Here is a 23,415-nt window from a genome sequence, read left to right as displayed (position 1 = left end):
GAATGGAAATTTGTGTATCCAATGCTATCAAGGTACTATATTTTAAACAATTGTTGTAGATTTATTTTTTGAAAAATATGCATTTGGCAAGTAAAGAAGTGCATGTGAAAATATTTATGTTAGCAAAAATTGTAATATTCTGTTTATTCTTTTTCTATATAGCCTGAGAAAAATGACAGTGAGCCAGGCAGCCAGAGGATAAAACCTGTTTTCATTGAAGATGCTAATTTTGGACGACAAATATCTTATCAGCACGCAGCAGTCCATATTCCTACTGACATCTATGAGGGCTGTAAGTAAAAGAATGTTAACATCTGTTGGAATACCATGCTCTCGCCTGTCTTATGTTTCCCATGTTTGAGGGGGAAAAAAAAGAGCAAATGTGACATTGTTTTGTTTGTCATATAAGAGTCTGTGGTAAACTCTGATTTATGTGAAAGAATCAATCTGATTTTCATGAACAGTTTATGTGAGTATACCCTCACTAAACGAATATTTGTAGGACAGCCTGCATCCATGGAGTGGTCCTTCTAACTTAATGTTTGGTAAATAATTCTGCTTTCCCAGTTGCCACCCATAACTTACAAAGTATATAGATATATTTGTCAAAAGCCAAAACTGTGCAGCTGTATTATACACACATGCAAAAATATTCTTGCATAAATGGGTAAAGGGAGAAAATTGTATGTTTCAGATTCTTTCCAGTTCTTATGACTTCTCATGTCTGTCAGTCTCTCTCTCTTTTTCCCTCCCGGTCTGTGTTTTTCTGCCTTACCCTAGGATATAGGTAAAGAGTACCTTCCTCTCAATGTATTGTGGGCTTCCAGCCAAAAGAAGTGCTTGGGTAAAAGGAAGAGACCTTAAAAACTAGAAAAGCTGTGACTGGAAATATTGGTTGGAGAAGGCTTCCCTGTGAAAAAGGGATGGGGTAAAAAAAGTGTTTAGGAAAATAGTGGCGGAAGCTTGCGCAGGTGTTGTTTTTTAGAGACACGCTTTGCATTAATCAGAGCAGAGCCTGAGAATTCTAACTAGGAATTTTCCAAAAGACAGCTCTATCATGTCTGAGAATGAACTGTGACCAGAAACAGGGTATTTGTTCAGTCATATCCCTGGTCTTCCATATTATTTATTCTTTAACCCATCCCTCCACCCCATCCTGCACCTCGTTCCCTGCCTTCTCACATAGTAAAGGGTAAGGGGAAAGAACTGCTTGCGATTGTAAAGAACGTGTTTCTTGTATTCCTCTTAATTGAGACGCGGTAGAGTGTATTTGGAATCCAGATTATCCAGATGGCCTGGGTTCTGGAACCAGACTACCTGTGTCCAAATTTAAATTTTAGCAGTATTATTTCCTCTGGCAAATCCTTCAAATTTCTGAGTAGGCATTTTCTCATCTGTAAAATGGAGATAAGATTAGTATCCTGAAATGTCCTTTGAGGATAAAGCAAGTTTAATGTATTTAAATTCTCATAATAGTGCCAGGCTCATAGTAAGTGCTATGTAAGTGTTTGTTGTTGTTATTATTTACAGTTAAAGTTTATTTAGACTCACAAGATTAAGGGACTCACATTGTATATGAGCTTTTTTTTTTTATTCACTTTGAGATTATTGGTTTTAAAAACAATTTTTAATGCATATATGATTCTTTTTATTATAAATTTTATCTTTGATCAAATTATTTTATTTTGTTTCTCCTTTTAAGTGTTTTAAAAGTACCACTGTTTTCATCCTATCAATTCTTTGATTTTAAACCTATAATTACATATAATAATAGAAACGTTGTATGTGTATATATATGTGTGTGTGTGTATAGATATAGTTTCTTTTTACATGAGCCTTAAACATAATTTAACTTCTTTACAATACAACTGAGACTATTAATTCCAAGCCCTTTTTAAAATCACTTGAGATTTGGATTCATATATTAATATTTTTTCTTTGACCATTGTATTATTTTTCTGTAGTTACTTTTGATATTTGTAATTGTTTTTGTCATTATTCTAACTGTTCAGACAATGCTAAGCTATATGGTTATGTTTCTCAATTTTTGAATAATATATTTTCCACTTTAGTTTCAGATCTATCACCTGTTGTTTGTTGGATATGTTAACAAAATAATAATCTCCTTCTGTATCTTTCTATTGAATTCCAATTGGAAGAAAAACTGGCTGGGTATAGAAGCTTTGAGTCAAAATATTTTTTGTCAGTACTCTGTACATCATGGCACTGCTTTTCAACCTGCGTTACTCTGTTGAAGAAAACTGAAGCCAACTTGAATGTTGTTCATTTATTAGAAATCTTTTATGATTGGGTTTTGTATTGTTGATATCTGGGAGGCTTTTTATTTCTAAATTTAGTAATTTATAAATGTCCACAAGATATTTTAAGTCAGTGATTTTCTAATAGCTTTGCTCTATGAACATTTTGTTTACAACATGTATTTACGTAGAAGACTGATGTGTAAAAGAAGTTAAAGCCAAAACCAGTGTGCCTGAAATAAATGTGGTGTGGCCAGAACACTAGCTGCTTTCTCTTTACTTCCTTTTCTTCTGTTTCTTTTTTTTTTTTTTTTTTTCTTCTGGGACGGAGTCTCACTCCCTTGCCCAGGCTGAAGTGTAGTGGTACAATCTCAGCTCACTGCAACCTCTGCCTCCCAGCTTCAAGCAATTATCCTGCTTCAGCCTCCTGAGTAGCTAGGATTACAGGCATGCACCACCATGCCCGGCTAATTTTTTTTGTTTGTTTTTTTGTATTTAGTAGAGACAGGGTTTCACCATGTTGGCCAGGCTGATCTCAAACTCCTGACCTCGTGATCCACCCGCCTTGGCCTCCTAAAGTGCTGGGATTAAAGGCGTGAGCCCCCACGCCGGCCCTCTTTACTTTAATGTTCTCTGTCTAGTATTGGTAGTCAAGACAGATTGTCTGGACAAGTTTATAGGTTATTGTTTGGTTATATGTGAGCCAGAATTGTCCACAGGAGGCAGTAAGATACTTACTTTGCATTAGAATCTGCATTCTCTTACTCTTTTGCTTCCTTTACTGAGTTGAAATCACTTTATAACTTAAGCATCCATCTGTTGTATGCTAGAACAAATATGAAATCTGACTCACAAATTTGAACGTAAATTTTTAAAAAATTTTTTTAAAAATGTTTACATAGGCATACATATATCTTAGTATGCTACAATTTACATACACAAATTAATTTGTGTAAACAATGTTTTTCTTTCCAATTTAAAATAAACTATTTGTAAATAGCTACAGATAATTTTAATAGTCTCAGAGAATACAACTTAACATTTTGAGAATCAATAAAATATTTAATATGTTTTCAGAAGTCATAGGCATTCTTTGGGATATGTCATAATTAAAAGAAGCTCTGTCTTTGGATTATTTATTTAGTCCCATTCATCTTAATATTGGCATCTTCATCTTTGCTGAAATCTCATCAGTAAGACTCTAACCTTTCCTGGCCTGTACTCCTTTAAAATTCATGTCCAATGTTATAAGCTGCATGAATAAATGACAGGAATGAAATCAGAAATGTCCACAAGATCTGGAAAATTTAATAATTACCAGTATTCTTCATGTGGTGTGTGGGAACATATCCGATTTAGAGGATTGTTCTCGGCTTCTGAGTTTAATGAATATGAAAATGCACTTTAATTGAAGGCTTAACTGAAGGAAACAGCCTTTTTCATTTTAAGACAGTTGTGTAGCTACACTCTCATAAGAAACCTCGTGTTCTAATTTCACAAAGATGATTACTTTTTAAAGTCCCTTGAATTGAAATGTGATTATTTCTGCTCAATGATATATTTAAAGTTTTAGAGTACTGTATTTAATTAGAGCCCCATCTCAAAATCTCCATTTTTGAGAATTTCACTGGTTGCTCCTTTTCTTTTAGAGGACACCCAAACCATACTTAATTTTCAGATCTAATTTATCTGCTTAGAATTATACAAGACAAGCATATAACTTAGTAAAAACAAGGGCTGAATATTCTGAGTTAATTTGTTTTTAATCTCAGAACTTTATTAATTTTTGAATCACTTTAGACTCAATGTAGGGCTGTCTTCATAGAATATTGTATAATTATTTTAAATGGAAATTTGTATTGATAGTTCTTTGTATAATTATATTTCTATAAGAATAACATTAATGAGGGAAAATAATAGGAAGAAACCCCAACTTGCATAAAGCTTTCAGGGACCAGATACTTTTGTCCTTATACTTACCCTATAATTTAAGTAAGGCAATTATTATTTACGTTTTAGAAGTAAAAATACCTAACATACTTTTATCATGAAGATATCTTCATTTTGATAAAAGAAGACAATTTTCATGAGTTGTATTATCTTTTGATGTCTCATATGCTTTACTAAAAGTGCTTGATTTTTGTAATTTAAGCTAATAATCACTGACATTATCCTTGTAACTTATCTTGATATTCAATTGTGTTATCTTAAAAGATATAGCCGCTGTATCTTAGATGACATCAGTGTCAAAATTGCAGAGGAAAAAGGTGCTTGCAGTCTTTCTGGACAATTGCATAATCTCCTGTAAATTTTAGTAACTAATCTGTTCCAACAAGGTCCACCACTTGCTAATAGTTTACATTTAGCTGTTGTAAACAGCCCATTTTGTTGTTACTCCAAGAACCAGTGTGGGTAGTATACCTTTAACAGAGTAAAAAAGTTAGTATTCAAGTTGACTGGCATGCTGTACATAAATCAGGCTAAATCCATAGATCTGATAGTTGTATAAAAGGCAGAGGAAAACAATGCTTCTTTAAGGTGTTTGGTGTTCTTGGGCAAAAGGCTTGATTCAGATGGAATAGTTGTGCTCTAAAGTCTGTATCTGCATATTTTTGAGAAAATTATAGTCTCAGTGAAAATACTTCAGTGGAGTGATACTAGCTTGTCATACTGCGTCATCAAATATATTTTGTAAGAGGGGAAACTTGTTCATGGTTTTGGTAGACCATTCAGTTCTGGTGTATAATGTTATTCTTTGTAATTAGCTTTGAAATAATGAGAAGACGTGAGAGCAACTTTAAAATACTGAAATTAAAGAGTGAAATTATTCTTTGGATAACAGATGATTTAAAGGAAATGCAATCCACGAGAGATATATGATTATTTGATGTTACTTACAATGATTAATATGTGTAGGGTAGATTACTTAGGATGTAATTGGTTTATAACCAAAGTGGATTTTTTAAAAGTTAATGAAAAATGATATTAGGCAGAAACTATAGAGTTAATATTTATTTTTTCTTATAATGATTTTGTTTCTGAAATATTATCTTCTTTCAAACTATATTGATTATAGTAGTTGATATATATTAGTTAACTTGGAAGTGTACAATATTTTGACCTGTATTTGGCATATTTTATTTAACAAATATTTTGATTTATTGATGGATTAGTTTAAAAAACAATATGTTAGAAAGTAAATCACATTTGTTCTGTGATTTCAATAACAAAATAATATGGATTATATTTATATGTGTTAAGAAAAATATCTATTTTGTAATTATACCTTGATAAAAACTGTTACTATCTTTTATTGGAATAGAAAGCTCCTCCTGGTGTGGTGGCTCATGCCTGTAATCCCAGCACTTTGGGAGACCAAAGTGGGCGGATCGATTGAGCCCAGGAGTTAGGGACTGGCCTGGGCAACATAGTGAAACTCTGTCTCTCTAAACAAATTTTAAAAACAGCCTTGGGTGCTGGCATGCGCCTATAGTCCCAGCTCCTTGGAAGGCAGAGGTTGGAGGTTCATGTGAGCCCAGGAGGCAGAGGTTTCAGTGAGTTATGATTGTGCCACTGCACTCCAGTCTGGGTGACAGAGTGAGACCCTGTCTCAAAAAAAAAAAAAAAAAAAAATATATATATATATATACACACATATATACACATATATGAATATATATATACATATATACACATATATGAATATATATATACATATATACACATATATATGAATATATATACGTGTATGCGTATATACACGTATATATATATATATATATATACCCAGACATATATATATGTGTGTGTATATATATATATCAAGGAAAAGTTCATCATAACTAGGAAAATAGCTTTTTTAGACATGGTATTACCATTTAATTACCTCAGAAGCAGTCAATCATCAAGTGAAATTTTATTAATTAAAACTAACTTCAAATATATATGTATGTTAAAATATATATCATAGGAATGAAAAATATTAAATGTTCTCTTTATTTTGCCTTTAACACATTTCTTCATTTAGCAAATACTTATTAAGGACCTAGTATGTCATGTACTTTTCCAGATAATGGGAATATAGCACTGACTAAATGGTCAAAATTCTCTGTACTCATGGAGCCTGCATTCTATTGGAGGGGAGTGGAGTGTAAAACAAACAATTAAAATAATAGTGTATATCGTAGTGTAATGAGTGCTCTCGATAAAAATAGAGAAGAGGTTAATGATAGTGCCTGGGTTAAGAGAGAAGAGTGAAATTTTATAATGGGTAGATAGAGAAGGCCTTGTGGCTAAGGCAATTTTGTAATTGAAGTCTGTAGTTTGTGAGCAAGTGAGCCATAAAAATCACCTGTGTAAGAAGGCTGTGGCCATGGAAACAGAAAACTCAAAGATCTTCAGGCAGGAGCATGGTGGGCTCATAATCAGCAGGGAGACCATTGTGGCCAGAGCAGAGTTAGCAAGCGAACGGGGAGCAGGGGTAGCAGCAGACGCCATGTCAGCCACAGCCCTATGGACGATTGCAAAGACTCTGATATTTACTTTGAGATTGTCTTAATTATCTCAGACAGATAGGCTAAAATAACAGACGTGTATTTCTTACAGTTTTGGAGGCTAGGAAGTCCAAGATCGAGGTGCAGGTTGGTGCCCAGTAAGAATTTTCTTCCTGGGTCTTCTCAGTGTGTCCTCACATGACCTCTTCTGCACTAGCAGAGAGAGCGAGCAAGCTCTTTTCTCATGAGGCCACTAATCCTATTGTAGGTGCTCCACACTCATGACCTCATGGAAATTACCTCCTAAAAGCCCCATCTCCTGATAATATCACATTGGTGGTTAGGGCTTCAACATATGAATTTTGGGAGTATACAAACATCCAATCCATAACATAAATGGAAAGCTGCGGGATGTTTTCTGGAGGAAGAATTTTGTAATCTTTTCCATCTTTATGAAAAAGTTGTGGACATTGGATACTATGTTGATAAGAATAGGCATAAAAGGTATAAGAACAGGAGGTATGATGGACAGGTAGGCTGAAATAACACATTTATACAAAAAAATCTGAGCCTCCAAACGCTAGAATTTTAAACATGTACAATCCTGGGGTAAAAAACGACGTCATTCACTTCATCAGGGTTTAGCTATGGATCATGGACAAGAATATAGAACCTAACAGAAGTGGATGCAAGTCCTGGCTTTATTGCTGAATTACATATTCAACTTCTTTACAATCAAAGGAGGTGAATATACCTTGTTAGGGTGCAGTGAGGATTGCATGCAGTAAGTAATGCAAGGAATCTATCTAATAGGAAATGCTTCTGTCTTCCTATTTTTAAATCCCCAAATAGCAAAGTTAAGATGAATAAAACAGAACAATTTTTCTCACTAACTCAAAATATTACCATGTTCCTCCAATCTAAACCATACCAAACTTGTTTCATGAACAACAGTCAAATAATTCCAAAAAATATTTTTTTATTTGATAGTTTCATTGTTACCATGGTAGAAATCAAAACAGGCTTTCAACCAATTGTTCTAAATTTTACAGGATGCTGACTCATTCTTGTTAAAATTGCTGATTAGTCTAACAGGACATGACTTACATGAGCTGCCATATATGAATATCCTCACCGTGACAAATTTCCTAACATATCTAGTGCTCAGATGAAGAGCTGAAAAATCCACTACACTTCCAACCCACTGGTATTTTTCAGGGTAATTGTTTTCTATGCTTGGTATTTGTCACAAGTGTGAATCTGGATCACAATAGAATCATAAAAGAGTTTTCATCAGTAGGACCTTCTTAAGTTTTGTGTTTATTGATTTTTTAAAACCAGATAATTTGCAAAAAAAAGGGTTCTTTAATTCTGGAAAGTACATCATTATATATAATATATAGAGTTGTATGTTAAATGACTAAAAAAGTGAATGTTTTTAAAGAACTTTCAGTAAAATGTTGTCATGGTTCTGATATTAGCAGAGTAGCTTTTCCTTTTTTCTTTTAAAGAGCTATTTAAATTATAAAGTCTTGATTCTGACTCATGCAACCAGAAATCTGATTAAGTGCTAAGAAAGGGCACTTTTTAAAAAGTACAATTGCTTCTGTAACAAAGTGATTGTCTATTGTAATAAAGTGATTAGCTTACATAATTAACATTGTTTCTCATTAGGTGCGAGCAGGGAAATGGTAAGAACATCATAAGACATTGAGGACAAGCCTGAGTTAGAGAATATAAATTTTAAGCTAGGCTAATTTGACCATAATTAATAAGTTTGGCACAAAGAGAAACAATTCTACTTCTGAGGTAAAGATGGCCTTTACTTTCACTATCTTTTTAAAATAACATTTATGTAATACATGCATATTCATAGAGAACAATATACTATTGACTTTCTGATAAGAGAATATTGACTACTTATCAACCCAAATGCCAAAGATACAGTATTCTTATCATATAGATAGTGGTTTTTTAATTCATTTCAGATCACAGAACAGCAGACCAATTAGTAATAGCTTTATAGATATTGTAAATTGCTTTAGACTGAATTGTGTTCCCTCCATCCCCAATTTATATGTTGAAGCTCTAACCTCCAATGTGATGTGATACTTGGAGGTAGGGACTTTAAGAAGTAATTAGGATTAAATGAGGTCACAAAAGCGGGCCTCAATCTGAAAGGGTTGGTGGCCTTCTACGATGAAGAGGAATCCTTCTCTTTCATTGAGTACATGCAGATATGAGGATATCTGTAAGTAGCTATACTTTATAGCTACTTCTTTGGAGGTTCATAGTACACACTAACCCTTAAAAGGTCAAAGAAATTCTGCTAGGAATAAATAAAATTTGTTTTACCCAATATTTTTCATATATGTATGTGACTATGTAACATTTACCTCTCACAAGTATGTTTCAGTTAATTCACATAATCACTTTTTCAGATAGCTGTATATTAAGAAATGGGCATATTCTAAATTTGATACCATTTATAACTCACTTTGCTTTCTGTATGAATCACTTTGTACAAATGTGACGTGGTTTGTTGTGAAAATCCAACTTTATTTTGATAGCCTATTAAACCTTTTCAGTGAGTGACCCTGGATAAGGATGACTTTCCTGGAGATTCAAAATAACAAAATGATCTAGATTACCTTTAGACATAAAAACAATCTCAATAAAAATGTCTCAATTAAGAAATTCCGGCTGGGCGCGGACGCTAATGTCTATAATCCCCGCACTTTGGGAGGCAGAGGCGGGCGGATCATCTGAGGTCAGGAGTTCGAGACCAGCCTGGCCAACATGGTGAAACCCTGCCTCTACTAAAAATACAAAACTTAGCCAGGTGTGGTGATGTGTGCTTGTAATCCCAGCTACTCGGGAGGCTGAGGCAGGAGAATGGCTTGAACCTGGGAGGTGGAGGTTGCAGTGAGCTGAGATTGTGCCACTGCATTCCAGCCTGGGTGACAGAGCGAGACTGTCTCAAAAAAAAAAAAAAAAAGTTTATTTTCATTGTAATAGTGAAATTTCCAAATTTGTGTTAGTGTTAACTCCTCTTCCCTACCTTAGTGAAGAGCTAATGGAAGCCTTCAGTGGAGGCTGGGCTTTGATAGCTGCTCTTTGAATTTTGCCCAAACTAGGGAGAAGCAGAGAGAGGAAGGGAAGAACAAGGATGGTTAGTCGTTACCTGTCTGGATAACTTAGGGCAGGGCTGGGTAGATGGCGGGCCTTGTAGCTAGTTTATGCTGACTCTTTGTTTTGGATTTCTGTTTTTTTCTGGTTCCTTTGACCCAGGCAACACACATCTCTGTTGTATGTGAAAACTTCCTGTCCATTCCTTCCATGGCCCTGGGAGCATTTTGGATTTGCTCCCCAGAACTACCTAGGGTACTACAGGAGAATGATTGAATCTTACATGCTTCATGCCAGCCTTAGTAGACACTACTAAGTCTGCCAAAATCAAGGCATAAAATGTTGGATAGTTTTTAATGTTTTACTCTGTATCTCTTGTACTATATTTCATTACAAATTTATCTCATGTTATATATTTGGCCAAATATATAAGAAACAGCCAAAGGAAATTCTGCTGTTCTTAGGAAAGCCTCATGGAGGACATTCAGTGAGTTAAGAGTACTTCAAGTTTTTAAGAATCTATGTCAGCATATATGGTTAATCTTGGTATTGAACCCATGTTTTCTATCTAATTAGGAGAACAATGCCCACATGCAGATCACATAAATCCTAGCACACTGTCTAGTGTGTGCACATAAGTCAGAAAGGAATATCATATCATATATTTTTCCACAAGTACTTCTCAGAGCTGATATTTCTCAGTGCCTTTTCTTAAGAAGGAGCTCAAGTATTTTACAATACTAGATTTTCTTCATTTCCATTTGGTTTTCACAATTACCTAGGCACAATGTTTAAAGAAAATATTGTGATTTTTTTTAGTCTATTATGGAATAAGAATATTCAGGGATTTGCAAAAAATCCAGTTATTGCTTTATTTTTTCTTACTGTTTAGTAGGGAATACAAATAAAAATTTACTGTTTAAAAAAAAAATTAAAAGGAAACCCAGAGGGAAGACATGAAAAAGAATGTGTGCAAAATTCAGTGCCTCTATAAATTGACAGCTGGAAATCAGAAGTGCACTTGGCTAGCTTTTATGATGCGTATAACAAATGACAGGCCATTCAAAGGTTGAAGAAGAGAGATAATCTTAAATTAAAATAGCTTCCAAAACAGGCTGACAGTACTGTTCACAGCAAATTAAAAAGGGATTGACAACTGGAAAAAAAAATGGGGGTCTGGAATTTGAGATGAGGATTTTTTAATCATTTGGCATTTGACTTCGTGGATAAAATCTTACTCGATTTCTCCCTAGAGGTAGAAAGGCATTTAAAAGATATTTCTAAAATTTTATTAAAACGACAAAGATTTTAAATGGACTATAAAGATTTCATGTTTATTTTGTCTCAAAATTCGAAGATCAGACTTTAAAGATACCGGGTTATGAGATATGCAAACATTCAGATTGGATTTAGTCAACATTTGTCATTAGATCAAATGAAGTTATATGTAAATTTTAGTTTAATGAATAATGTTATTTTAAAAAAATACTACCTGAGTTATAGAGTATCATAAAATAGTACTAAAGGCCATGCTAATATTGTTTCAGTCTTCTAAAAAGGTGGCTCTGTTTTTGCTTGCTTCTTTCAAATGACAGTCACTGGAACATGTGTGGATGTTCATGTAGGCGTCATGGACACTGGGGCCAGTTATTATCTTGTATTCACCTAGATTGCCATGTGATTGAAGAAGTGTGCCATTACTACACTTCCAAGTCTGTGAAGATCAGTTGTTGTTTCTATATTTCCTTAGTAATCATCGTCCCTCATATGGAAATACATTGGCAGTGACTAAGCCACTTTGAGTATAGAGCAGAAGTCCCCAGATGAGTCATACAGGCCGTTGGTGGAAGGCTTCATATTTGAAAGAAACAAATTTTATATGGAGATAGTATTATTTATACTCAAAATGGCTCCTCTATTTAATCTACACCTTTTATAAGTCAGAGGAATTTTTTGACCTGGAGGAGAAAATCATTAATTCCAGAATAATTTAATTTGTGACCGTCATAAATTTTCAGCTCCACCTCAAAGCTAAAAAAAAAAAAAAAAAAAAAAAAGACAAAAACTGGTTTGATTAATTTTCTAGGATATATAACCAACATTTTCTCATTTGTGATAGAAGGGTAAATGGATAAAATTGATTATCCTCTGTATTTGTCATTCATTATTAACAGTTTGTGTATTCTCAAATTAACCAAGTTTTAAATTATATAAAATCATTTTCTCTTAGTATTTTAAATGAGAATAAGATTGACACAATAATTTTGCATATATGCTATTTCTGGTATTTTAACCTTACAATTCTCTTTTGAAATTACCTTCAGTAACAGTTTTTTAGTCTAGGGAAAATAATTACCATATTTTAAAAAGAATAAGACAGTGTTTTTCATCGGACTTAATTCTAGAGGAGTTATAGCTGTTTGAAAAATAAGATAATTCCTGAAGGGTCCAAAATATTTGTCATCAATTTCAAGTATAATTCAAAATAAGGATTTCCAAGAATATTTGAGAAATAGAATCTTCCCTCTAATGTCTAGATGGTATAATTGAAAGGCAGTCATCTATAATTTTAAAAGACCATGCAAGTGTTATATATAATCATTTTAATGAAGAATACTATTGATATATTGTAGTCACATCACTTCAATTACAACATGTATTCTTAAATCGTATCGTACTGTTAAAATTTTCACATAGGAGTTCATATTTACTCTATTAGTTGATTGTCTCATACTTATTTTTTAAAGGATGTTGTGGGTTGCTTTTGAAGATTCCTCAAAGGCTTTTAAAAGTGGAAAAGTCAGGGAAGAAGTAATATAGTGTGAACTGGATAGCCTTTTTAAACATAAGTGGAATGGTTCCAAAAATAAGGGGTAAGAAATAAAATTTTTAAACTATAAAAGGAAAACGGTGATATTCAGTGAACATTTGAATAAACAGTCCTTAAGTAAAAATAGTATGACAAAATTGTCTTTCATAAGAATATAATATTTATAATAATACCTCAAAGGACTGTAATGTGGATTAAAAGAAAACATGTATGAGGTGACTAGATCACTCTTAGATGATGGTTAAACCAAAATCAGTCTAATTTTATTTATCAGTATGCTTCATTTTCATAAGAAAACAAGTATAAATCATTTTGTTTAGTCTGTCTAATGAGAATGTTGTCATCTACTGTTAATACAAGTTCTTGAACATGGAACTGTGTACATATAAACATCCTCTTTTCATTCATTTATTCATTAAATTAAAAAAGTCAGTATTAAAATAACGGAAAACGTGATGAATTATACAATTAATTAAATTTGCTCAAATGCAAATTAATTTAATTAATTAGATTCTTTTCATGGTTCTTTTAGCACAAATATTACAGTATTCTAAATAGCTTGTGAATAAAACTTTTAGTAGCTGATTTTGAGATGGTTTATATTTTAATGAATAGACAAAACCTGAAAATTTGAATATGAAATTATTCACTTTGATGGCCTTCAAGTTATGAATATGCAGCCTCCCTCTGTGTGTAATAAAGTATATTTTTTGTTTATAATCTTTTAAATAAAGTTCAGTTAAGTTTATGAAAATACAATAATAAAAACTATCATTAGGCCACAATAAAGCCAGTTCTTATGGATCAGTAGAATTAACTATACATATTCGGGTTGGGGAGTTAAATATATTTTACTCATAGAGCATTAAATATACTGTTTTTAGTTTTCTCAGAAAGGATGTGCTAAGATTAAAATTGACTTCTATTTTTATGCATTCTATCAAAATCTGAATATGTATATACACACACAAATGTTTATTTGGCAAGCATCTAATTTTATAACTGGCATTAACTTGTACAAATAATAAAAAATTAACATAAAATGTAAATTTGAGTAACTGGTAATCATGTGTCTTGTTGAGTATTATAGTACTTCGGTAAAACTCGACATTAAGAATTATGTACAAAAGTAGCCATTAGGACTCTATGTAAAAAAATGCCATAACCACAGTGTTATAATATTCCTTTCTCTGCCTTTCAAGACTTTCAACACATAATCTTTTCTCCTCTCTTAATTAAAATAGACCTTTTGCTTCATTTAGAACAACATGGGTAATTCTAAACACATTCCAGACTTTCTGTTTTTTTGTTAGATTATTCCTTATTTTTTAAAATGGAGTCTGGTTCTGTCACCCAGGCTGGAGTGCAGTAGCTCACTGCAACCTCCACCTCCTGGTTCACGCGATTCTCTTCTCTCAGCCTCCTGAGTAGCTGGGATTACAGGCGCCTGCCACCATGCCCAGCTAATTTTTGTATTTTTAGTAGAGATGGGGTTTCACCATGTTGGCCAGGCTGGTCTCGAACTCGTGCCCTCAAGTGATCCGCCTGCCTTAGCCTCCCAAAGTGCTGGGATTACCAGCATGAGCCCAAGCGCCTGGCCAAGTTGTTCCTCTTTTGTTTATCCACATAAATAATTATTAAAAGTCACGGATTTTCTAGTATATAGGTTATGTCTGTAATGAAGTTAAAAATAATCATTTCATGAATACATCTTAGTGTTTTGTGCTGTGACAAGGCTTAGTAGATACTTCATTGCTCAAAGGAATCTGAATCTCTCCTTTCAACACATAGGATTATGCACCCTTTCTAACCTGCAGCAGGGTGGTAATATGTGGTTGACATTTTTCCATTGGTTATAGGTGGAAGTGACATGTATGACTTTCAAGCTGGTGGATTTAATTGCCAGCACAGGGCCCTCTGGAACTCTCTTTCTGCCCCATGACCTTGTAGATGGAATCTCCATCAGTCTAAGTTCCTTCGTTGAATGAAAACATACTGCAGACTGCCCCACTTTCCACACCTGAATTCCACCAGCAGCAAGCAGTGGGTTGTAGGATGAGTGAAAAACAGCAACAAACCAACTACTTTGATGTTTTTACCTACTTAAATTATATATGTGTGTGTGCGTGTGTGTGTGTGTATATATATGTATATATGCATGTGTATATATATATCTCAAATACACACAACAAATATGGTATTTCCACTTAAATCTTCCTGAAATATTATTCATTTACTTATCTTTGTGTCATCCTTCTATTTATAAAATTACTAATGAATTGATTTAAATCTGGCTTCCTCTGCTTCTCAGGATTTTTTTTCCCCAAGATGTTTCAAAATCAAAATTTTTATCTAAAAGTTTTATCTCTAAAATAAATTTTAAAGCTTATTTTTTTCAAGTCTTAAAACCTTTCTCAATCAGATTTTCAGGAGCTGCACAATAGAACTGTTACTTCCCTTCTCTTATTTTCAATCTTCTATCCTTTTTCTCTTTAGTCCCGATTTTAAAACAATGGCAGGTTAGGGAAAACAAAAACCCACAGCTTACTCTCTTAGGAGGTTGGAGGAGAAATTGATTTTAGGCTCTTGATAGTTTAAGTCTACATTTTTGTTCCTTTCCATGTCCACAGATCAATATATTACCTGAATACATAAATCTTATATGCTGAAATAATATCTCCAATTTATTATATAAAATTCAAAATCTGTGACCCACAGTATGTGATGTTAACCTTTCCTACTGATACAGTTACACCACTTAATTTATGACAAAAATAATTGAACTAACATGTACTATATAATCATAGGTTAGAGGCCAAAATCAAATTAAGAGATTGAATTTAACCTGAATTGGTAGATTGCGGTAAAAAACGGAAAGAAGCATATTTAAACTATCAATAAAATAAGACATTTTTGCATTATGGGAAACTATGTATCATATTCTAATACCATTACTGCAACTATAGCATTGCTATACTCACCTTAATTGAAATATTTTTCATTAAGATCACAAAGGATAAAACCTAAATGGAAACCGAAAATAAATTAGAGGTTATCAATGGACTAAGTATGACTATTATGTGCCTTGTTGATTTTCAATTTATCAATAAAGTATACTTTAAAATATATTGGAAATTTTACTTTGGAACTTTTAGATTTTCATTTGTCTTATTACTTCCATCTGTCATGTAACGTTTTACTGACTTTCATTTGTTGAATTTCTAGGTAAATAATGTAGAAGGCATTTGTCACCCATCATCACCTGTGTGCTCCCCCAAGACTTTGGCCATGCCAAATGTAGACCTTCTGCTATATTGTAATATTAATGATAATATTGGAGACTTTGGTACAGGAATGTTGAGAAGTCTGTTCTAACCAATACCCACCCACTTGGTTCCAAACTTCAAATTCTGTTGGTAATATACAGTTGGTACTTGTGCAGAATTGTTTTCTTCTTTAGATTTTCATTTTATGTTAGTGTGTGGTGACTACAAATTTAATCTACTTATATAATATCTTATATAAATAAGAATCCTCCAGGATAAAAGTCTACAAAGGAATATGACATTTACACATTTGGCAGATCTGTATCTATATTTGTGTTTGGTATAAATAGTAAGTTCTAGATTTCAGCATGAAATATTGCCAAATATTCTAATTCCATTATATTTCAAAGAGTTTATCCACAAAATTATGGTCTTACTATGATTTGTACATTTCAAAAATTTGTACAATTAAACATTTCTAAGCTCTACTTAGAAAATAGCATTACAGCATTTGCCAGAAAAAAAAAAAAAGTTAAAAAGTTCAGGAAATCAATCTTGGTCTAAAATAAAATATACCTTTGTGGGTAACATTCTCAAAATTGAAATATTTAGAATACCATTTCAAATCTTCTACTAAATCTCTGTTTTACTTGGCATAAATACACATGTGTATACACTTCATATATGTATATCTTTCATGCATAGAAATCTTTCCAGCAAGCTGTGCATTGATTCAAATTCCAGATAAAAGTTTCTTAAGCTAGAAAATAAGTACACTTTGATAGTCTGTATTTTGACGTTGATAGCATTTATTTCAACTTATTCTGAACAAATTGAAAGAAGGAAGTTGTTTAGAAATGGACATAACAAATAACATCCAGGGGTTTCAGGAAAGTTTTCATCTTAATGAACACATCTTTATGCTCTAAAAACACTAATAATACCTGTGAATGATTTATTATATTTTAATAAAGGATGTGAATTCTAGATAAAAAATTTGATTTTTGATTTAAAATAAAAAACTTTATATGAAATAATAAGACATTTCAAGAAGTAGAAAAGATCACAGGGCATACCCTTGGAATCAAGAAAATAAATTTGCATTAAGGAAAAGCCCCTTTGAGACTAACACAAACAGTAAATTCAATCTCATTGCATTTGGAATCTCTAAAAGCCTGAAAAACTCACTTTTTTCTGTCCTCACACACACACAAAAAATTATATAAGGTTTTTGCAGTGTGTAGATGTATCAGAACTAAATTTTTTTTTCCTTTGAAATCTATTTTTCTTATTTTTTTTAAGTTCCAGGGTACATGTGCAGGATGTGCAGGTTTGTTACATAGGTAAACATGCAACCCATCACCTTGGTATTAAGCCCACCATGCATTACCTATTATTCCTAATGCTCTCCCTTCTCCTACCCCCTGACAGGCCTCAGTGTGTGTTGTTCCCCTCCCTGTGTCCATGTAGAACTACTTTTTAAATGATGTAAATGTCATTAATTGTACATGTATTAAGTACACATCAGTTTACATAGAGAACAGAATAATATGATCTGATTCCTACAGTGATTCACACACACTCCTACCTTCCTGTTTAAGAAGGTATTGCGGCCGGGCGCGGTGGCTCACGCCTGTAATCCCAGCACTTTGGGAGGCCGAGGCGGGCGGATCACGAGGTCAGGAGATCGAGACCATCCCGGCTAACACGGTGAAACCCTGTCTCTACTAAAAATACAAAAAATTAGCCGGGCGTAGTGGCGGGCGCCTGTAGTCCCAGCTACTTGGGAGGCTGAGGCAGGAGAATGGCGTGAACCCGGGAGGCGGAGCTTGCAGTGAGCCGAGATCCCGCCGCTGCACTCCAGCCTGGGCGACAGAGCGAGACTCCGTCTCAAAAAAAAAAAAAAAAAAAAAAAAAAAAAAAAAAAAAAAAAAAAAGAAGGTATTGCTACCTGTTTTAGAGTATGTAATTTTAAAAATAGAAAAAGAAAGAATATATTAAACAGTAATAAAATGTACTGGCTTTTAATTTTAACTACAAATTGTTAGAAGTGTCACATCTAGGAATAGTGAATGGAAGGGAAAAATTGAAGACTGATGTCTCAGTAAAATGAATATAAAAGATTTTCAACTGGATCAGACAAATGAAAAGGTTTTGCTACAGATATATTTGGAAAGGGCAGTGAAACTGACAAATAATGTGAAAGATCTTGGCTTCCGTCAGTTTGATACAGAATGCAAACTGACAAGAAAGTAAAGGATTCTTTTAAAACCATGAGTAAGATTAATATGAAGGCAAATGCGTTTTGGGAAGAATGGTAAAATTCATTTCAGTATAACATCAATGTTTACATCAGAGTAACTACTGGTTTAAAATTAAATTGAGTTTATTCTTAACATGTCTAATTTTGTGTTTTGAGAAATATGCATTTTGGTATTACATCTTACTGAAAAGTCATTTATAGTTTTATTGTTGAGGATTAAAAATCTGATAAGTTTCTAAGTAATTAAATCTTGTCAGACCTGCCTTCTGATGATGATGTTTGGCATGCATGCATTGAGTTCTGATGCAGTTTTAAATCATTTCAGAAAGCCAGAGGTGCAAGTGAATTGCAGAAGAGTCACGCATTGATGGTGAGGAGACTATGTCAGCAATTTGAAGTATCTTTATAATACATATATGACTCCTGTGGTAGAACTTTATGGCCTTATAAGACCATGTAATCATCAAGCCTCAGTCTCTTGAGGCTTGCTGTAAGTGTAAAGGCACAGTAGATTACCTCATCATTCTAATGGAGGCAGCAGGGAAATTGCTTATTCTCCAAGTGCACAGCAAGCATTAGTCAAAGTGCTGTACATGTAAGATATGCAGGCGTTCTATCCCTGGGTACATGATTTACATCAATAATGATTTTGAAAAAGGCAAATAAAACAATGCATTAGAAAATAATGGGTTTGTATTGGTTTCAACATCCTTCATATTATCTCTTCTTGATAGAGTGAGTTTTATATAGATACATGGAATTTATAATCAGTACATTTATTTTAATGCAAAAGGCACATTTTGCCATTTTAGTTAAATGAAAACAATGTTAAAGTGTACCAGTCACTGATCACTTTTTAATGGGAAATTATGTTTTTGTTTGTGAGAGTTGGGTCTACATTGCTTCCTCTTAGCAACTTCTATCTGATTCCTATTTCTTGCTTTATTTTTTTATTTTTTTTATTTTTTAGACGAAGTCTTGCTCTGTCACCCAGGCTGGAGAGCAGTTGTGCAATCTCGGCTCATTGCAACCTCGGCTCACTGCAACCACTGCCTCGTGGGTTCAAGTCATTCTCCTGCCTCAGCCTCCCAAGTAGCTGGGACTATAGATGCATGCCACCATGCCCGAGTAATTTTTGTATTTTTAGTAGAGACAGGGTTTCACCATGTTGGCCAGGCTGGTCTTGAACTCCTGACCTCAAGTGATCTGCCTGCCTCGGCCTCCCAAAGTGTTGGGATTACAGGCGTGAGCTACTGGACCTGTCCTTGCTTGCCTCTTAAACCTGAGGATTCATAGACATTATTGGTGTCATTTTAGTGATAATTTTAGTCAAGCAATATTTTGAATTGTCACTGAAACATGATTCCCAAATCTGATTCTTCCTTATACACTTCATGGCTAAGATGCAGATTGACTACTCTGATTGCCTTTTTTAAACAACGCGGTTTAATGGATATCTCAGAAGCACCTCACGTTATGTTCAAAATTGAATGTATCACTGTTGTCCCCAAGTGTACCTCTCTTCCAATGTTCATATCTTTGTTAATAACACTAAGAACCCAAGTCAGAAAACCATGCTTCCTGTTTTCTCCTTTCCCACATTTGTTACTGTGGCCTGTAGATTTTTTCTCAACATCTTTTTAATCTCTTTCCACTCTCTATATCCACCACCGCTGTTTTAGTTCAGAATGGTATTACTCCTCACCAGTCTGATGGTACCTGCTTTCTCTCTTCTCTATTCACATCTGGCTGGCTTTTGCAGATATGATTATTTCATACTTCAGCTTATTATGGCCCTCTGTAATTCTCAGAATAATTATTTTAACTTTAGTATTCCTAGATTATTATAATCATGTCTCTCTAATAACATCCCTGCAATTGCCCCACATTCCTCATCCATTCAGCTGTTTTGAACAATGTTCAACTCCCAGAATGCCCTATGTCTATTTCTGCCTGTGTGCCTGTACAGCGAGTTCACTGGATCAGGCATGCGGTCCTTCTACTACCTCTCTGCCCTTTCTTTAATACTGCTTATCACCTCTTTCAGAAAATCTTTTGTGACCACTACTTCTACCCTGCCCCTCAAAACCTTTGCTTAGTTTCTGATAGGCAGGTGTTACTCATAGGGTCTGTTATGCAAAGCAAAATTTGATTTAGATGCTTTATCTATGTGTCTTCTCAATTAGACTCAAAGTATCTTCAAAAATAGTGATCACAACTTATTTGAAATTGAATTTTAAGAGCCTTATGAAGAATTATTAAATAGTGATTTTTAAAAATGATTAAATATGATGCTGGAGTTAGACCTTTTTCTTTCTAGGATATATCAATTACAGTAAAAAATTGAAACTGTAATCTGTCACAATACTCTTTTGTGCCATCTGTATCTGTTTGGATGTTTTGTTATTGCAGGATATTTTGATATTGAGAGTTTGTCCTTGCAATATCATACTAGATCATACCATCATGTTGATATCTAGGTATTTCCTATTTGTCAATATCATTGTGTCTACTGGTTTATTGAAATGCTTTATATTAATATTTCCATGGCTAGTTGTCTTTAAAATCCCAGTTTAAAATACAGTTCTTCAGAGAGGATATTCCTGAGAACTTGATTTACGGTAGCCACCTAGTCAATCTCTATGGCATCTCCAGATTTAATTCTTTAAAGAGCACTCATGATGTTCTTACTTATGTGTTTATTGTGTTTCTCTTCCAGTAAAGTGTTAGAAGTCCTGTCTGTCTTGATAGGCCCTGGAGCTCGGGTATAGGAGTCTGCAAAGTATGGCCCACTGTCTGTTTTTATAAATACAGTTTTATGGGAACACAGCCACACCCATTTGTTTATGTGTTGTCTAAGGAAGTTTTTGTGCTACTGCTGTAAAGGGAGTTGTGACAGAGACCATGTGGACCATAGACCTAAAACATTTACCGCCTGGTTCTTTAAGAAAAAGTGTGCCTATTCTCGTGCTCAAGAGCTTAGAAAGGTTCCAGACACATAATAGGTGTTTAGTAAATATTTATTGGATGAATGTCTGACAGAAATGAGATGATTAGAAAATGAAGCACATACATTGGGAAATACTTAACAAGAAGCTTCATAGTGATATTCACTGACTTAAAGGACTTATCTAAAAATTGGGCCAGTATTTACACCACGCTCTTCAGAACATCTCCATTAAAAGGGGTGATTTTATCACAGAACTTGAAGTTAAACTAAAAACAGGATTAAATGGACATTTGAATGGATGAAATCTCTCTGATTCAGATGATACCCATCCACCGCCTATCATTGTTGGTTGAAGGAAAGAAAAGGAAATGTTCTACCATTTGTACTTGGTCAGATATGATGAAAATTATTTCCAACTTAAAAATATCCAACAGAGAGGTACAGTTCATATATTCACACACTCTTTCATTCATTAACAAATAGATATTGTTAGTATGTACCAAAACATACTAGTTATTACTGTTTATGGCGTGCCTGTTATACGTTAAGTATAGCATATTTTAATTTTCACAACCCTAGCTATTGTACATAATGTTTTCTCCACCTCATTCCTGAAAACTAGAAGTCTGTGCAATTGTATAGTTTACTCAAGGTGGTACAACTGTGCATTAAACACAGGTTTGTCACATCCCATTGCCTCTTTCACTATATTCTAGGCATCAGGGAAAATAACGTGGTGCCTACCCTACCCAGTATAATAGAAGGCACACACATAAAGATAGTGAAACGTAGGAAGTATTTTAATAGAAGAATATAGAAAAAAATAAGGAGTGGGGAGGGAGTTGATACTCTGCTGGGTGAGGGGAGATGGTGTGGGGAAAATCGAGGAACACCCTGTAGAGCAGGTGATGCTGAACTGTAATAAAAAAGAAGGGAGAAGTTTAACAAGTAGGCATAGGAAAAAACTCAGTCCAGACAGAGAAGACAGCATACAGAATGACATTTGAGGCAGGAGTAAACTTTGCATCCTCTGAGAATGGCAAAAGTCTTGTTATGGCTTGGGCTTGTTGTGTTTGAAAGAGCAGTAGGAGAGGACACCAGAAGGATGGATGGAAGCCAGTCATAAAAGACCAGCTTTTATGGAGAACCAACAAATACTTTTAATTAGGGAAGACATTTGCCAAGTAGAATATTGTGGCAGCAGTAGGAGGAATGGATGGAAGTGAGCTGGAATTAGAGGGAGGGAGGGTATTTAAAGGTTACACAAAAGACCCAAGAGTACGGCTAGGAGCAGAAACGAGGATAGCTACACTGGCATTAGAACCGACATGACTTGGTTGTTTACCATCCTCTATTATCTTTTGTCAGATTGGAAAACTTTTAAGTCATTTAGAAAAGTCTTATGGGTACATGTTTTGATCATGTCAGAATAATTTGAGCTTTTTAAATCTATTTGAAAAATCTAAGGTTTTGTGGGATATTGAGTTGTGAATGAAAATTAAAAATACATGATTTATTGGAAGAGAAAAAGATTCCTGTCTGTATTAAGATCTGCTGAGTAATACACGAGCAAGGACTTGTAAATTTAATGTGTCAACTCTAATGAGTACATTAAAATCTAAACAAGTCATGCTCACTATGTTGTAGGCATCCTGAATACTAACAATATTGATTTTTTTGTATACAGATGTCCATCTCTCTGTGTACGTAAAACATGTAATGTTCTGCATGTATGTATGCATACATGTATATGTGGACAATCTCTATACATGTGCAACTAGAGATACAAGGATATTAACCTCATGTTGTCTTAGAAATAGTGCTTGAGTTCATTCATACCTTTATATATTATGATTCGGTATTAATCTGTAGTTCAATTTCTGAGATGTATATAGTTTTTTTTTTTCTTTTCATTCTGAAGCAGTACATGTTTAAACCAACGGGTCACTGTTCTTGATTATAGCCGACTTCTATGTACTGTGCTTCAATGGATCTGATCTTTCCATCTTAAAATCACCAGGCAACTCTTTGCTCTAAAACTGGTTGACACAAACCCTTGAGTACCAAGCTGTGTGTGCCTCATTGACAATATCACCCTTGTCCCCAGGAGCCTTGTTATCCTTCTTCAACCATATCTCATTAGTCACTTCTAATACTTTTGATCCTTCTTTGTGAATTCAGCAGTCCAGATTTATATGGAGACACTAAATTTCTTATGCAGTTGGG

General features: G+C 34.0%; 1 protein-coding gene and 1 long non-coding RNA gene across 17 annotated transcripts in view; both read left to right on the top strand.

Annotated features, from left to right (window-relative positions):
- The window catches only part of CACNA2D1 (calcium voltage-gated channel auxiliary subunit alpha2delta 1), a 497,513-nt gene that overhangs the window by 326,621 nt on the left and 147,477 nt on the right, over positions 1–23,415 (top strand). For all 16 annotated transcript variants that reach the window (XR_001744873.3, XM_005250574.4, XM_005250572.4 and 13 more), the window contains exon 6: positions 163–292. Coding sequence is in view for 15 of the 16 variants with exons in the window: in XM_005250574.4 (XP_005250631.1) it covers positions 163–292 (130 nt within the window). In the remaining variant the exon portion in view is untranslated. The remainder of the gene's footprint in view (positions 1–162; positions 293–23,415) is intronic.
- Positions 6,042–22,581, top strand: LOC124901687 (uncharacterized). Its single transcript, XR_007060404.1, has 2 exons — positions 6,042–17,580; positions 17,918–22,581. It is a non-coding gene; the product is annotated as an uncharacterized LOC124901687 (long non-coding RNA).

The sequence above is a fragment of the Homo sapiens genome, chromosome 7 (assembly GCF_000001405.40).
Source record: "Homo sapiens chromosome 7, GRCh38.p14 Primary Assembly".
NCBI lineage: Eukaryota > Metazoa > Chordata > Mammalia > Primates > Hominidae > Homo > Homo sapiens.
The sequence above is the reverse complement of the archived record's forward strand: the minus strand, read 5'-3'. Positions and strand labels throughout refer to the sequence as shown.